Source organism: Homo sapiens, chromosome 2 (genome assembly GCF_000001405.40).
Source record: "Homo sapiens chromosome 2, GRCh38.p14 Primary Assembly".
Lineage (NCBI taxonomy): Eukaryota > Metazoa > Chordata > Mammalia > Primates > Hominidae > Homo > Homo sapiens.
In genome coordinates this window covers 126,792,533-126,810,853 of record NC_000002.12, presented here as the reverse complement: position 1 = coordinate 126,810,853, position 18,321 = coordinate 126,792,533, and the positions used below count along the sequence as shown (strand labels likewise).

General features: G+C 46.2%; 1 annotated feature.

Annotated features, from left to right (window-relative positions):
* Window positions 12,112-13,311: an enhancer, noted in NCBI's record as "CDK7 strongly-dependent group 2 enhancer chr2:127555119-127556318 (GRCh37/hg19 assembly coordinates)". NCBI's record gives its function as "activates an origin of replication core promoter dependent on BRD2, BRD4, P300/CBP, MED14 and CDK7 cofactors, with strong dependence on CDK7, by STARR-seq in HCT116 cells {active_cell/tissue: HCT116}" and the evidence as "EXISTENCE:reporter gene assay evidence [ECO:0000049][PMID:35650434]".

The window sequence follows — 18,321 nt, the reverse complement described above, 5'->3', positions numbered from 1 at the left end:
ACAACCTAAATGTCCATCAAGAGATGAATGTATAAGCTAAGTGTGTTATCTACTTAGAATATTATTTATTCATAAAAAGGAATAAAGTTCTGATACATATTACAATGGGGATGAAACCTTGAAAACATGCTAAGGGAAATAAGTCAGATGCAAAAGGACACATATTGTCAGATGACTCCACTTACATGAAATATCTTGAATAGGTAAATTCATGGGAACGGAAAGTAGCTTAGAGGTTATCAGAGGCAGGGGATGGGGGAGAATGGAGAGTTATTGCTTCATGGTTAAAAAGTTTCTTTTGGCGGGGAGCTGGGGTGAAGGGGTGGGTGATAAAAATTTTAGAAATAAAGGCCAGGCGTGGTGGCTCACACCTGTAATCCCAGCATTTTGGGAGGTCGAGGCGGGTGGATCACTTGAAGTCAGGAGTTAGAGACCAGCCTGGTCAACATGGTGAAACCCCTGTCTCTACTAAAAACACAAAAATTAGCCGGGATGGTAGTACACGCCTGTAATCCCAGCTATTCAGGAGGCTGAAACAGGAGAACTGCTTGAACCAGGGAGGTGGAGGTTGCAGTGAGCCAAGATCACGCCTCTGCACTCCAGCTTGGATGATGGAGTGAGACTCGGTCTCTAAATAAATAAATAAATAAATAAATAAATAAATAAATAAATAAAAACGTTAATGTTTGCACAACATTGTGCATGTAATTAATGCTACCAGACTGTACAATTAACAATGGTTAAAATGGTAAATGTTACATTATATGTATTTTACCACAATTCGTAACATTTAAACAGTTACAAAAAAGTTCTGTCCTGAGTGCTGCTGGCTGCTTCTCCAGCATATAGTCACTCCATCACTCCTTCCCAGAACATTTTCTATTTGGTTCAGGAACGTGACCCTCCTGAGTGTATTCTGTAAACAGCACACAGGGCGGGCCCAGGTAAAGAGCCGTCCAGTCACGATTGTCCTATCCCTTGCCTGTGACTGGCCTAAAAAGCCAGGTTAAAGCCCATCAAGGCACGGGATTTGTTGTGGTCTGTTATTGGTCCAGGAGTGGTCTAAGTAGCCCAGTTAGACTGAAAGGAAAAATGTTTGTTGTTAAAGGTTCATTTTTTCTCCCCTTTCGTCCTGATGAACACTGGAAGGGGTACATTTCCTGACTAAATGCGTCCTAATGGATACACACACGGGGGTGGGGGCGGGGTAGTCCAATAAGAGTGAATAATCTCATCCCTTCTCTTCCTCTGCTGTCCACTGTCAGTGCTGAAAAAGCAACCCAGGCATTTCTGGATTTGACATATGGGTTCCTTTATATGCCCTACTCTGCCCAAGCCCGGGGAAGGCTTAACTGGAGGCTTCTCTCAGGGAGCTCCCTCTGGCCCTGCATCCCTGAGACAGGGACCTGTTCTCTCCCTGCTGCCAAGGAAGGCGAGTACCTCCTACCTGGAACCTTGGGGATTTTTCCCAGCATAGCTTCAAGCCAGCGTCCTTGAAAAGTAAGTCACAGGTGATTTCTGACTTTGGGGAAATCGCCTGCTCATTTTTTATGACATGGAAGAATAAAATGCAGAGGGAGAAAACAGAGGGGTACCAGCTCTGTTGTTCTTACAACCTCATTTCCTAAGTACCACAATATCGGCCTCTGTTGAGCTTCCGGCTGTGTGATTGATTCTCAATGACTCATTCCCCAGTGGGTCCCTCTATCAGGAGACAGGCCAGCAGGGGGTCCGTCTGGGTGTGCTTAGCCTCACATTTGTTTGATTCTTCTTTTGTTCTATCTTCTCGGTGGAGGAAATAGCAAGGGGGCTCACACCTTTTCTGTCTGTCTCAGCACCTCTTAGTCCACTGATCTAGTGAGCCATGGAACTGTCACTCGTTGCTCTTGCCCTGACATCAAGCAGCTTCCCAGAGGAAAAAGGGTCTTATCCAATAAGTGATTCAGGGACAACTGGGTAATCACGTGAAAAAAAATTAAAACTAGAACCACAATTTCACCTTATCTCAAAATAAATTCCAGATGGATGAGAGTGTTAAAACAGGGAAAAAAATAAAACCATGAAATTACACGGAGAAACTATGCTAATACATTTGAACACTCTGGCAAAATGGACACATTTTTCGAAGATTAGAAAGTGTTATAATAGAGGGAAGAAGAAATAGAAAATGCTTACATTCCAATAGACACTGAACAAATAGAAAGGATAGTCTAACCTTCCTCCTCCACCAAAAAAGACCCGAATCCAGATAATCTGTGAGTTCTACTAAACTATCAATAAAGAGATATTTCTTATCTTATTCTAGTTATTCCAGGAAGCAGAAAAGGATATCAAATTACCCAGCTCATAGTTTAACCACTATTCCAAAACTGTATAAGAATAAAACAAGAAAATCATAGGCTCTTTTCACTTTTTAGAATAGAGATAAAAATAATGGACAAATGCAAAAAGCATTAACAAGTTCATTTAACACGCTCAAAGAAGGTTTATCTCAAGAGGATAAGGATGGTCCAACATTAAAAAAACTCAATAAAATTTTGTCAATATATGCAGAATAAAATGGGTAAAGTTCAATGCCTCATCATTTTCTAATTAAAAATGTATTGATGAGTAATATACTTAACAGAAAAATATACAAATCCTAACTGTAGAGCTTAATTAGTTCTCGTAAACTGGAAGCATGCAGGCACCCATCCTCCATAACCCTAAATGTCACCCTGTGCCTTCTCTAGTCACCAACCCTCACCTCTGACAAGGGCAGCAGCCACTGTCTTGATTTCAAATCAGCATAGCAAAGGTGTATTATTCAATAAATGGTACTGGGACAATTGAGTAGCCATGTGAAAAAAAAATGAAGTTGACCTCATAGATTGGTTTAGTCTGTCTGCACTTTATATAAACAGAGTCAGACCGTAGGCCCGCTTTGTGTCTGTTTCTTCCTTGCAACATTAGATCCATCAGAGTCATCCACATTGTTGGCAGTAGTTTAGTTCGCCCATTCTTATTGCAGTGTGGTATTCCATTCTGAGAGTACAAGGCATTTCATTTACCCATTTGGACAATTTGATGAACATGTGGGCTGTTTTCAGTGTGGGACTATTAAGAATAATGCTGCTATAAATATTTTGGTACATGTTTGTTGGTAAGCTTACATACACATTCTGCTGTGTGTACCTAGGAGTGGAACTGTGGTTGCAGCGGATGCATAGATTCGGCTTTTATACACACTGCCAAGCAGTTTTCCAAAGTTACTGTCTTTTTTTTTTTTTTTTTGAGATGGGCAGCTGGGGGTAAGAGCACCGTGAAACTGGGGAGAGGCATGCTGAAAAGGGGTTGAAGGTTCTGGGTGAGAACTGCTGTGGACTGAGTGATTTTGCGCTTCACAATTCATATGTTGAAACCCTACCTTCCAACGTGATGGTATTAAGTAAGAGGTGGGATCTTTGGGAGGTAATAAAAATTAGATGAGGTCATGAGGGTGGAGTCCCATGAATGCAATTAGTGCCCTTCTAGGAGTCCCAAGAGTGCTTGCCTCCTCTCTCTGCCATGAGAGGACACAGCGAGAAGACGACCTCCTATGTACCAGGAAGTGGGTCCACAACAGGCACCACCTTAGTCTTGGGCTTCTAGCCTCCAAGACTGGGAGAAATAAAAGGTTGTTGTTTAAGTCACCCAATTTTGGTATTTTGCTACAGCAGCCACAGCTGACAAAGACAATAATTGACTGTGTGTGCTCCAGTGGTTGTGCCAATTCATACCCCAGAAGCCGTTGTTCCCTTCCTTATCCACACTTGATGTGTCAGTGAGTCTTTTTCGATGTGGCCATTCTGGTGGTTCAGCACCATTTAGCTGTGAAAAACATTTTAGCAAATTAAGACTAGAAAGGGACTTCCTTAACTTGATGGAACTTGTAAACCAGAAACCTACAGCAAACATCATACTTAATGCAGACATTTTTGATGCATTACTTTTAGAATTAAAAAAAAAATTAAATATGACCTCTTTTGCTGCCAGATTTTACATGATCTTAAAGGTTCTGGAAAATAGACAAGAAAAGGAACCAAGATTATAACATTTGGAAAGAGGAGATACAACTCTATTTACAGATGATTTTATACACGGATAATCACAGAAAATACTTAAATCTAATAAGCACAGTCATTGGACTTGCTAGATTCAAGGTCAATTTACAAAAATCAATAGCGTTTATCCACAACATCAATAACCATCCACAAATACAATAGAAAAATAAGAGATCCACCGTGGTTATAAAGACTATAAAGTACCTAGAAATTAACAGAGGTTACACAAAATATCAATGGAGATAATTTGTAACACTTAACGGACATAAAAATCTGAGTAAATACTCATGATTTAATAAGTTAACTTCATAAAGATGTTAATATTCTCTCTATTAATCTGTTGATCCAATACAATCCCAATACAAAGTCTAGGTTGATAGCCTAAGGATTCCAATAGAATTATGTTTAAATTTAAAGAGAAGAATAAACATTTATAAATAGTTAAGATGATACTGAGAAAGAGGAGCCAGGAGGGAGGACTTGCTCTACCATATATAAAGAAGCACTGCAACATTACTACAGTGAAAACATAGTGGCACCTGCACAAAAACAGGCAAACAGACCCATGGAACAGAGTAGAAATGGCTCAGGAGGCCAAGCGTGGTGGCTCACACCTCCCAGCAATTTGGGAGGCTGAGGTGGGCGGGTCACCTGAAGTCAGGAGCTGGAGACCAGCCTGGCCAACATGGCAAAACCCCATCTCAACTAAAAATACAAAATGTAGCTGGGCGTGGTGGTGCATGCCTATAATCCCAGCTACTCGGGAGGCTGAGGCAGGAGAATCACTTGAACCTGGGAGGCAGAGGTTGCAGTGAGCCGAGATCATGCCATTGCACTCCAGCCTGAGCGACAGAGCGAGACTCAGTCTCAAAAATAAATAAATAAATAAATAAATAAATAAATAAATAAATAAATAGCTCAGGAATAAACCCATGCCTATGTGATACTTGATGAAAGATACACATACATCAACAAGCAGATAGGATCGAGGAAACTGGCTACCCGCCTTTACCCATATGCAAATGGGGAATCCAGTTGCATTAAAGACCTAAATGAGGAAAGTAAAACTATGAAGCTAACAGAAGAAATAATAGGAGAATAAGAATGGCTAATGGGGTAGGAAACGACATCTTAAAAATGAACAATCTGTTCACAGACAATGATATACAAATACCTCCTAAACTTAAAAAAAGACTTTTAACTTCACTAATGTTGAGAGAAAATCAAATTAAAATTAAAATGAATATATTTTTTTCTTACCTAACAGATTGGCAAAAATGCCAAAGTTCAATAAGGGTTAAGTTGCAGGCAGCAGAATCCAACTAGCTGGGCTAAGCACAGATATTTTTAATACAGGGAATTAGGTGCTTACAGCTGGGACCAGGCCCAGTGGCTCACGCCTGTAATCCTAACCCTTGGGAAGCTGTGGTGGGAGGATCACTTGAGCCCAGGAGTTCAAGACAAGCCTGGGCAACAGAACGAGACCTCGGTATCTACAAAAAAATTAAAGGCTGGGCGCGGTGGCTCACGCCTGTAATCCCAACACTTAGGGAGGCCGAGGCGGGCAGATCGCGAGGTCAGGAGATCGAGACCATCCTGGCTAACACGGTGAAACCCCGTCTCTACTAAAAAATACAAAAAATTAGCCGGGCGTAGTGGCGGGCGCCTGCAGTTCCAGCTACTTGGGAGGCTGAGGCAGGTGAATGGCGTGAACCCGGGAGGCGGAGCTTGCAGTGGACTGAGATCCTGCTACTGCACTGCAGCCTGGGCAACAGGGCGAGAATCAGTCTCAAAAAAAAAAAAAAAAAAAAAAATTAAAAATTAGCTACATGTGGTAGTGCAAAACTGTAGTCCCAGCTATTTGGGGGGCTGAGGTGGGAGGATTGCGTGAGCCAGGGAGGTCAAAGCCGTAGTGAGCTGTGATTGTGATATTGTGATACGGAAGTGCTGGGAAGGGAACAGCGTGGTCCCTTCAAATGATAAAGAAGTGGGGAGGGGAAGTGCTGGGTAGGATTAGGATAGGGTGTGGTCCCTGGCTAGGACTCCACTCCCACGGACCTGGGTGAGGACAGACATTTTTGTTTTCCTGCCCAAATGTTGCATTTCTTTCCCAAGACCTCCCCTGGCCTGCCACACCCCCATCCTGTGCCTGTAAAAACCCAAGACCCTAGCAAAGCAGGGACAGAAGCGGCTGGCCGTCGGGAGGAGCACATCAGCGGAGGAACACACTGGCGGCTGGACGTCGAGAGGAACGCATCGGCGTCGGAGCACACCTGCAAGCCGGCGGTCCATTGACTGGCTGAATGGCGTGGAGTTTGGCTAGAGAGGTTGGAGGAGAGCCCGACTCCAGGGGAAAACCTTCCCACTCCATCCCCTTCTGACTTTCCCCGTCTACTACTTCCACTCAATAAAACCTGGCACTCATTCTCCAAGCCCACTTGTGATCCGAGTTTTCTGGTACATCAAGGCAATAACCCCGGGATACAGAAAGCCCTCTGTCCTTGCCATAAGGCGAGGGTCTAATTGAGCTGGTTAACACAAGCCGCCTATAGATGGCAAAACGAAAAGAGTAAAACTAAAAGAGCACGCTGTAACTCCCGCTGGGGCTTCGGCTGTAAACATTCACCCCTAGACACTGCCATGGGGTCAGAGCCCCACAACCTGCCCATCTGTATGCTCCCCTAGAGGTTTGAGCAGCTGGACACTTAAGAAGCGAGCCACTCCCCCATCTCACACCCTGCAAGAGGGACAAGGGAACTTTTCCTGTTTTAACTGTGCCACTACACTCCAGTATGGGCAACAGAGCGAGACCCTGCCTCAACAAAACAAAAGAACCCAAAAAACAGAATGGTTGATGGGGCCGTAGAAGAACCTCCATCCGTTTCCCAGGAAAAATGTTCAGCCCGTGGAATCACTGTGCTGAGATGAAGTCTGTGGCTATCACTGCAAAACAATATGGAAACCTGCCACTTTCCTTTCCTGTTGCCAGATCAGGAAACCCCTGAGTGAACTGAGAAGCTGCCACTACAGCGACTGGCCTTAGTACTCCAGCCAATGAACGCTTTGCCTCTCTTCTCGTGGGGTTCAGGTCTAACGCAAAGTCTGTGGCAGTGTGTCTGATTGGTAAACTTCAACCGTGTCTGGAGCCCTTGCTATGAGGGTGTGTGGATGGTCCTGTTTTTGATTTTCTAGCCTTGGTGGACTAGACGGGAGTGGGGTGGAGGCTGAACAAGGCAGTCGATGGGCCTGCCATTGCAATGGGCGGATAGCAGGCCTCTCCTGCACCACTGGGAAAGGGTGCTGGTGCTGGTTTGCATGCCAATGGTTGGCCCTGGGGCTGGATATTTGTGAAAGGGTGAGTGTGTGTGTCTTTTGATCACTGTTACAAATGTAATGCTTTACCATTCTTTGAACATAAATGTATCTGTGGAAATCTGCCAAAATGCCCTTCTCTTTGCCAGAGACTTTGTACTTGCTTCTGAGCCAGGAGAGATATAAAGGGTTAGGCAATTTTATGGTCACAGAAATAGCCGAGCTGATCCCCATTGCACAAAGACACACTCCTTATACCTTCTATCCCATCCTTATGGGAGAAAACGGCAAAGGTGAAACGAGCCCCGGATTGTGGGTCAAGAGTTCTGGCTTCTAGTCCAGGCCCTGCAGTATTTCCCCAGGGCAAGGACTAACTTTCCCTCCTGGGCCTCCATGAGGCCAGTGTTTTCCCTACAGTTTACAACCCCACAGTCTTGTAGTCAGTGGACTTATAGGGAACTGTATTAAATGAAACGCAAAAGCAGAATTGCTCTGGCTGGGTTGAGGGGAGCCAGGTGTGTGGAGGGGAGCCCTGCCTTCTGCCTCTTTTCGCTTCTGAGCGGACTTGAAGCAGCTCTGTAGAGCACGGCTTGCAGATCACAGGATCAGCTTCTTTCCAAGGTGCCTTTCAGCCTTAGGTATTTTGCACTAAGAATCCAAAGGCTGATTCCTTCAGAGGCAGGAAACGACCACTACTAGCCAAATGTGCCAAATAGTCCCACACAGGTGGTGGGTAGGAATTCGCTGTAAGCCCTCGGGCACAGAAACCATCGTTTTGTTTTATTTCATTTCTCTAAATTGAACTAAGTCAGGCTGTTTGAGCTGTGTCTCCTCAGTTATCATTGGAGCTCCCTGCTCCTGTCTGGGAGCGCCTATGAACATCCCAGAGTTGCTGGGGCCAGAGCCAGAGCCAGGGCCAGGGCCAGAAAGCTCTCTCAGCAGGCTCCACAGTTCACACTGTGCTTCGGGTGCAGCATGCAGGGCTTGGAGGCGCCCCAGTGCGGGGCTCCTGGGTCTCAGTCCCCTGCTGCCTCAGGGCTGCATTTCTCAGGGTCCTGGCTCTCTGGGGAGACCACAGCCAAAAGGAGTATGGGTCTGCCTCTTGTGGAAACCCCCAAACTCCTGGGCGAAAGCTATCCTGCACTATCAATTGTCTGCTTCCATCCCTCCCACCTCTCTGCCCCCACCTCAGCTTGATCACCTGCTTTAATGGGCCTGGGTTTCCCAAAGAAGGCAGGTAACTTTGGAGTGCCTGGACGCTTCAGTTTGGGACCCTTAAATTTAAAAGCCTTTCATAACCCTCAAGGGGAGAGAGCAGAGCTTAGAGTATTAGGACTTGTTCTATAAGAAAGAGGGGAAGGGGGATGCAGAGGACAATGGGGAGACCCGGGATTTGCACTTTCATGCTTCACAATAGCTCACAGGACAAAAGCTCACTAAACTATACTCCTGCCTCTGCTTTTTCTTAAAATTACAAAATAAAGTTTGAAGAATAAAATAAAAATCACCTTTAATTTTACCCTCTGAAAATATCCTACTTGTAAATTTTGATGTGTTTGCTTCCAATTTTTTTCCAAGTACATTCTTTCATCGTTAAGGTCATACCTTATATGGTGTTTTTTGCAAACTTTCCTCTGTATTTAAAGTATATTTTATGCATTTTTACATTTTAAAGTTCTTCTTTCATCATTTAGCGAATGTGCGTTGAGTTCTTACAATGTAGGTGCCGGGGATTCCGTGGAGAGCAATGGCCCTCACCGTCCTTATAGAGGCCTGCAGTCTGTTTGGGGGTCCTGGGGGGGAGTCCTGTGGAGGGTGGGGAGCTGGGAGTCACTGATATGCAGGTGGGTGAGGGATTCTCAAGCTGGAGCCAGTGCCTCCCCTGAACTGAATGCAAAACTTTGTAAGTATGTGTGAGCATGTGAATTTATTTCTGAATAGAAAACTCCCAGCTTTCAAATGACCTTGGAAAGGTCAAACCACTGAGTGATGTGGTAGTGAAGTTGTGGGCGGGAATACGATGGCCCAGGGAGAAGGAGGAGAGACATGCTGGGGACCGGTTGTGGAAAAAGCAACGAGGAAGGCAATGGAGAAAGACAGGTGGAAAAGGCAGCAGGAAGACCTTAGCTGCACGTCAGCCAGTATGAAAAGGGAATCAAGGAAGTGAAGGAATGGAAGAATCTCCAAAAACTTCAAACTAAACAAAGGGCAAAAACACACTTCAACTCCACCTGTTACTTATGCGAAGAGCATATTTCTCCTCTGGGCATCCTCTGAGCCTTGTGGCTCTGCCTACATACCAATACTATTTGCCCAGGGACCAACTAATTCAGTTTCTCACTGGACTTGAGCAAGAAAGGACAGTGAAAACTCATAGCTTCCATCCAGATCATATACCCAGAGAGTGTTTTTCCAGGACCTATGATTTTGCAACAGGCGCCTGTCAAGATGAATGTATGTTTTCCCATAATATTTTTGTGGTTTTCCAAAACAGCGCTCCTTTAGCCATGGTCTGCATTTTTAGTTTGGAATTTGTTTTAAACAATTGGACCTAGTGTTCCTTCTGGTCTTTAGTCTCCTGTTAAGTAGCTCTCTATTTGTCATACAGGTAGTCAATATACAGTCTCAGTTTTCTTTTGAATTTTATGATACTTTTAGGTTACCCTGGGTCAACCCGGGCCTAGAACTGAGCTCTAGAAGGTCCTAGAGATGTGATGCCATTTTTTTTTGAGCAGGTTGATAAATGCCTGGATTTAAAATGAGCCTTGGGAAAAGATGCACAATAAATACTTAATCCAAGTTGGAACCCAGGCATCAAATGTATTTACTCAGACAGTGAAATATTTAAATGCCATGTTGCCAGGTTGCTGGTGTGTATGGATGACATACTTACCCATATCTATTTAAAGAAAGGACCCAAACATTTCAAAGTGATTGTTTACCTGAACCTAGAAGAGTGCAGACAGTTGAACAAAATCACTGCAGGTTTCCGGAAATGTCTCTAAAGATGCATTAAAGTGATGCAGCTCTTAATGTTATTTTAGGGATGATGGTAGAACTGACAGGGAAATTTGTGCATGACAGGGAAATCTTGAAATAGTCAAGTGGCTCAAATCAGTAGTGCTGGAGCTTTGAACTGGTTCAAGATTACCTTTAATTATTAACCTTCTTTAATATTTCAGAATGTCTGTAATAAAAGAGGCATGGTGCATTTAATTTATAGTTATACAGTCAGAGATTGTTCGACCTGAAATGGATGTAGATCATCTTGGGCGACTGGAGATTCACAAGCTTTTATCTTCTCCAGCATACCCCAGAGATGCCGCACCGTTTCTCCTAGTAACAGTGCTCTCGAAGGCAATGATTCTTTGGTTGAAGAGTTAGGGTGAGAAATGGGGTAGGGATTGCATAAGAGAAACAAAGTCTCCAGTGTTGTGTTTAGTTTGAAAAAATGCCTCGTTTAAGAGATCCTAAATTTTAAAAATCATTGAGGATAAACTCATCTGGTATTTTATTTATTCATTCTTCTCAGTATACAAACAAGCAAAAGTGCAATGGCACCTGTGCTGATATCTTCATCATTAATCTCTTCCCCAAATTCCAGACTTATAGTGTACATCTCATAGGCATCTCAAAATTATTTTGGCATATTTTATTCTCCCCACTCACTGAACTTACTCTTCTCCGAGTCTTCACCAGCACAGGAGAGCATAACAAAGTCTATATCAGAGACTGGAAGGGTAGTGGTTCATATCATGTGAAATATCTGGTAACGGCACCAACTGTGATAGTTTGAAATATAGATAATTCCCCAGTGAACTCCAGTTTAAAGAGAAGAGCTCACGAAACAGAGCTGCAGCAGTATGTGTTAGCTGCAGTTGGCTGAAAATAAAAGAGAACAGAAAGTTCAGAAATCTGGGGACTTGTACCTCTGAATGAGGCAACTGCTTTCCAATTCCAAACAGTAAAAATTAATATTGAGAAATGCTTGAGCAAGAAAGGACAGTTAAAACCCAGACTTGCAGCCAGTACCAAGACAAGAGCTTGTTCATCACACTCATTGCTTAACATTTCTGAGTGGATTAAGATGATGACCAATAAACCATTTTCAAAATGGGCCTTGGAGAAAAGATGGAGGGGTGTGGGTAGATGAAATTAAGGGGTGGGGGTGGAGAGAGAGAGAAAGAGAGGAAGAAAGAGGGAGGGACAGAGAGAGGGGAGACCTTTATCAAGGACTCTAGTATGACAATGGTGCATGGAGCTGCTTAGTATTAAATAGGTAAGAAGCTTTCTAGATTTTTAGGTTTCTGAGAGAGATGTGCTGCCAAAGACACCAAAAGTCTGGGCCAAAATGATCACTGGACCCCAACGTTCAGTGGGCAGAAGGGGGCAGGATGAGATGCTCAGCCTGAAAAATGCCCTCTTCAGATGCAGCCAAGGAGGAAAGTGGAAGGCCTAGAAGCCCCCCTGGGAAGCCCTGGCCGGAGTGAATTAGCACCTAACTCAGGAACATGCCCCTCCCGGGTGGGGGGTTCTAGGAAGGCCACCCAGTGGGATTCCAGCGGACCATCCTATGGGGTCTTGCGTCTCCCTTTCTCCCTGGAATCATGTATTTTGGTTATTCCTGATTCTGTGGTGGAGGGTGGTGTGGTGTGGGGGGAGAAAGACAGCTTTGATGCAGGGCATGAGTCTCTGGGGCAGAGCAGGCTGACGGGACTCATGCATAAACAGTCTGCGTGGCTGCCTGGCATGGGGACCCCTGCAGGAGCAGGGCACAGAGCCCTGTGCTTTAAGTCTGGTGTCCCACCTAACAGGGCTCTCGGGAATCTAGACACACACCACATGCAGTCTCCACATGACCACTGAACAAATGAACCAAGGGCTGAGTGAACTGATGAACTAATGATAGATTTGTTGAAGCCTGTGTCAGGTTACTCCTCGTTTTAGGCCCTGGGAGTCAAAGATGAGAGACAGGGTCCATGCCCTATCCTGGGTCTCCAAGGAAAGGCTCACAAGAGGGTAGGTAGTGAGGTGGGAAACTCTCTGAGCACAGAAACCCAAAGAGTTGGGTCTGAGCAGGAAGTGTGGTAGTGGGAGTCTGTTTGTGTTGTCCAGGAGAAGCAGCCTAAGGGTCTTCATGGGGAGAGGACCTGTCTGTCTTTGGACCAAGGATGGCTCACATGGGGGTACTCACACTAAAGAACTCACATACCAGGTGAGTTGCATCAAGGTGATTCACACACCATGGTAACTCCCACACACAGTGACACCCACACGGGGATGATTCCCTCACACTGGGCAACTCTCACACCAGATGACTCTCCCACACATGATGACTTCCACACAGGGTGACCCCCCCACAGGGTCCCTCACACTCCAGGTGACTCACCCAGGCTCTCCCGCTGCTGCCGACACCCTGGAATCTGGGCCGAGTCCATCTGTACGTGAGGGTGCTGCAGGCCTCACCTGAGGGGCTCTGGGGAGCCGACGCTTTGTGATTCAGGGTTGCTGTCTCCAAGCCGCCTCTAGCCTGGCGCTCCAGGCTCTGTCCCAGAACCTGAAGAGCAGAAGGCAGTGGACGGCAGGACTGCCTTCTCCAGCCGCCCTGAGGGAGGTGGTCTTGACTCCCCTGCCCCCTCTGAGAGCTGGCCAAGGCGCTTGCCCTGGAGGGCTTGGTGGATGTCCCCTGGTGAGTGGATGGCATTGACCTCAGGGCTGTGACTGTGCTCCCAGATGCTTGATAACTCACTGGGGCTTGCCTGGGAATGGGCTCCCGCAGAGCTTTCCTGAGGCTGTCCTCTCTTCTTCCAGTCTGGGAAACAAGTTCTTTAAGTTTATTATCCACAACAAGTAATCTAGGAGCCTAGTGGGTCACCTCCAGAAATTCAAGGACTTGGTCACTTGAAGAGGTTCACCAGTTTCTTCTGGGCAGCAGACTGTGCTGGGAACCAAGTGCCCACAGCTTCCCGGGGCAGACGGGGCCTCCACAGGCTACAGCATGGGGTGCGGAGTGTAGGGCCAGTGAGAGCCTCAGCGGGGCCTCCGCGTACAGAGCGAGGCTTCCCAAAAGAGGTGGCTGAGCTTGAGTCACAAAGATTTTAGCAGTAGCCAGGGAAAGGGGAAGGAGGAAGAGAGAAGGTGGCGAAGAATGGAGGTGTGTGCCGACATGGAGCTGCTCAGTGTGGCTGCCTCTGTCTGTGTGCCAGTGTGCACATGCATCCGGGTTTCTGTGTGTACATACATGTACATGAGTGTGGGTGCATCAGCATATGTGTTCACTTGTGTTTATGTGAATGATGTGCACATGTGTGACATCTGTGTGCATGTGTGTTGTGTGTATTTGTCTGTGCATGCATATATGTGTATGTACACACGCTCTTTGGGTGCATGTCTCTGCGTGTGCACATGTGAAAGTGAAGTTGTGCTTGGGGTGGGAGGAAGAGGAATCAGACAGAGGGGAGACTATAGAGCCATGGTCATGTCTGCTTCCCTTCTGGGGGAGTCCACGTGACCAGCGCATTCAACAATATCTGTTGGAAGAATAAATGGGAGAACTGTGTTTCCTGGACCCTAGGGAGCCACAGAACACCCCTCTTTGGGCTGTAGTGGGGAGCATAGGGTGGGGTGGGGTGCTGCTGAGGCTGTAGGCAGTTTCTGCTCTCCCAGAAGTCACTGTTTTTTTGTTTTAATTAATTAATTAATTTTTATTTGTATTTATTTATTTTTTGAGATGGAGTCTCGCTCTGTCGCCCAGGCTGGAGTGCAGTGGCCCAATCTCAGCTCACTGCAAGCTCCGCCTCCCGGGTTCACGCCATTCTCCTGCCTCAGCCTCCCAAGTAGCTGGGACCACAGGCGCCCGTGACGAAGCCCGGCTAATTTTTTTGTATTTTTAGTAGAGATGGGGTTTCACTGTGTTAGCCAGGATGGTCTCCATCTCCTGACCTCGTGATCTGCCCGTTTTGAGATGGAGTCTCGCTCTGTCACCCAGGCTGGAGTGCAGTGGCGCCATCTCGGCTCACTGCAAGCTCCGCCTCCCGGGTTCATGCATTTCTCCTGCCTCAGCCTCCCAAGTAGCTGGGACCAGAAGTCACTCTTACCCTGCCGGGTGTAGGATGCAGAAGACCCCACCCAGGAGAGGATCCAGGGCTATCATAAAGGTGCAACTTCTACCAGGCTCCAGCTGCTATGTGGGCAGGGAGAGGGCGGTGCTAGGTCAGAAACACAGAGAAAGGCAGCAAAGGGCCAGGCCAAGTCCTGTCCAGGCAGGACTTTTAAATTTGCAATTGACAGTGGGTTTACTCAAGTTAAAATTTAAATCTACTCAAATTAAAATCAAATTTAAAGTTTTAAATTTGCAATTTGAGTGGGTTTACTCAAATTAGCTTAAAAACAAAAAGGAACATATTGGTTCCTAAAACTGGAAGTCTAGGGCAAGACAGCTTAGGCATGGCCAGGTCCGGGGGCTCAGAGGATGTCCAGGACTGGGTGGTCTTCATATGTGGTGGCTTGGCCTTCTTCTGAGTTGCCCGTTCTCAGAGTAGTGGCACAGATGAGTCCCACGGCCCCAGGCCTAATGGGTTCTCTGCCTCATTGTCGGTAGGGATCTGCTTAGAAGGTCCTGACTGGTGACACGTCTGCTTTGTAGGCAAGGGAGGCAGGTAGGGAAGGAGCAGAGGGGAAAAGCTGCCAGGCCAGCAGAGAGGACAGGAGGTGACCCACCCTGGAGGACAGTAGCACCACAACTGCAGTCCCGTCCTCAGAGGAAGGGGAAGATGGGACTCGGGGACATTCTCCCGTTTTTAAGACCTGGGAGATGTGTATTTAAAGGCAAATAAGAAAGCATGATCAAGTAGCGAAGTCCTATCCAGCAATGCACTCAGAGAGAAGAGGACCATATGATTTGGGGGTGGACGAGGAAGAAACTGAGTTGACAAACAGAAAATATAGATTTTCTAAAAGGATCTAAAAGCAAACTCTTTGTGGAAAAACACACCAAGAAACCTTGGGGAATGCCCCCAGAGCCCAGCAGTCCCCGAAGCGTGATTTAAAAACACTGGGCTGTACAACTGCCATCTCCAGCATTTGATGTTAAGGACTGAGTTTGCATTTTGCAAATCATTCCCTCCATCATTTTTGTTTTTCCACAGCAATGCGGGGGTTGCCTTCATCATGTAGTATCTTATAGCAGCTAGTTCCCTTCCATCTTTTTAAAATAATGCATTTCCACATAGCTTGTGCTGTCCTCTGGGATTAATTAGTGACTGAATAAGTTCTATGAGGTGTAGGTGGCCAGCACTTCTTGACAGATGGCAGCTGGAAAAAAAATGGGAGATGATTGCAAGGACGGTAATTATGGTTTTCTGGATGTGAGAAGTTTATGAAATACCTCCAGGGCTGAAGTGCCCACAGAAGTTCTTGGAGCCGCTGAGCCTGTGGTCAAGCAGCCATTCATCCTCTGTCTGAACTCTGGTTAGAAATGGGATTTCCTAGTACACTGAAGACAACAAAATATAAAAAGTTGATTTATACGCAAATCTCCTGCTTCATAATTATGGTCTAGAATTAATTGAATACCCTGTAGCTTTTTGCACTGTATACGCTAATGATGACCAAAAATTGATTCTCTTCTATATTTCCTTATTAACTTATCTTAAAATGACATATTGTGAATAATGACCTCCTGTACTGCTGGACTAGGCAACTTTATAATTTGCAATTCAAGCTGTTTATTCTTTTCAATTTGTTTAGGTAATTTATTTTCACAGGAAGAAAAAAAGAACTAAATTATAGGAACAAACAGTCCCTGTTGCCTGGAAAGTGCTGGGGCTCTGGAGTGAATAAATACTCCTGAAATGAGATGATCACGACCTTGTGTGGGGAGCTTGGTGAGTGGCCATGCTAGTTTTATTTTATGGACCATATTGAATTAATTTAATTATGGGATATCAATGCTCTGCCTGGTAATTAGCGCTGTGGCTATTTCTCCGCGTGCTCCAGTGCCAGGCAGGGCCGTGTAGTCCCGCAAGTCGCTGTTGCCTTGCTCAGAGGTGGCTGCTGACCCCAGGTGGCTGCTCCGCAGCAGGAGGCAGGTTGGGGAGTTCTCATCCTGTCCTCTCCCTGTCCCAGCTTCTCTTCCCTGAGAGAGCAACACAGAGGCAGGCAGATGGAGGTCCATAGAGTGCCTTATTTAATGCCAAATTATAATTTAGTGTTATTTTATTAGATGATCTAATTAGTAGCTCTGAGCTAGAGGAAAACTTAACTTTTTGTGTCCAGCTCAGCAGGCATCTCCACAGCAAGCTTTGATCACAACCCCAGACCTGTGAGCCTCAAGTTGTTTCCCAGGGAAAGAAGTGGGTCTCAGGCCAGCACACTGTCCCTGTCACCACAGCTACCACTGAAACCCGGCTTCTTTCCTGCACCTGCCACAGCTTCATGATGCTCCCCTCATCTCAGGGACGGTTGCTCCTTTTTTTTGCTGAGTGATTAGAAGATTTTGTCAGACAGAAATTCCCTGCCAGAGGTTAACAAACTGAGTTGTCTGGGTCCTGCTTTGGCCCCTCCCTCTCCCCCTCCCCCATATCCCTTCCTCTCTTCTGCCTCCCTTCCTTTCTCCCTCTTCTCTTCCTCAGTGGGGGTAATTCCTCCACTTTGTAAGATTCCAGCCCTTCCTCCCTCCTTGGGGACTGACGCTATCAACTATCCTTTCTCTATCCTATACCTCCAGGTCTCTTTGTGTGTGTTCCTTTCCAGTGCATTTAAAGCCACTCAAGTCCTCCAATGCTGAGAAAATTCCACTCAGCATCTTTCTCCAGCTGTCACCCTCCTCTCCTCCTGCCTCTGTTCCACAGCTGTGGTGTTTCTCTTACCTGCTGTTTCCCATATCCATTGAAGTTGGTACCTGCCCTCCACACCCCCAACAAACCTGCTCTAGCTCAGCGCACCCATGGCCTCCTGACTGTGGAACTGGCCATTCTCAGCCCTTCTCATGTTTTCCTCTAGGAGAGGAGCAGAGCACAGTGGTTAAGAGCTTGGGCTCCCAACCTCTCTGTGCCTCATTTTTTAAAATCTCTATAAAGAGGATAATAATGGTTTGCAGGAAGGTGCTTGGAATACTCTGGATCTAATAAGCACCCTCTAAGTGCAATTTATTATGACAATTCATCACTCCCTCCTCAGCTCCAGGCTTGTGCACACAGCTGCCTACTGGACATGTCCAGATTCCCACCTTAGCCCAACCACACTGCGCTCATGCCTTTCCCGCCCACCTCCCTCTGCAGCCTTCTGCCTCTTCGTCTTCATGAACGGACCTGGCAGACACAAGACTGCCAAAGCCCAAAGCCTGTGCCTGGATTTGGACCCAACCTTTTCCCTTAGCACCCAGGGCTGATCAATACCAAGTCTATTTCTAGAACCTTCTTAATATTTGTCCCCTCTTTCTACTTTTCTTCATCTTCACCACCTGTGCCTAAGGTCAGACTGCCACTGCGTCCTGACAGGTCTATTGATCTGGAATCCATTTTGTGGAGTGGCTTTTCTGGAAACAGACACATGTAGGAGTCAGTGTCCTGCCTGCACCATCCTTGGCACCCAGCACTCCTAGGAAGCTGTGCCACGCCCCCTGTGACCTGCCTCCCACTGTTTCCCTGGCCCCAGGCCTCTCCAATGTCCCTGACACCTGAAAATACTTTGTCTTTGCAAATATGACTCAGAGCTGGGGTGAAAATGCAGCAGACTCAGTGGGGAACCATCCAAACCAGGTAGAATTGGAAACGGCTCCTGTGCTCGCTCCCTTTTGAGATTTTCTGGGCACCCACACACTATTTCTACACACCTGTGGCACTCACTGCCATGCTCACACCTAGAGCAAGGGAAAGGAGGAAGGGGCATTTTATAGGGGGCAACCCTGTGCCCAGCTAAAAGTCAG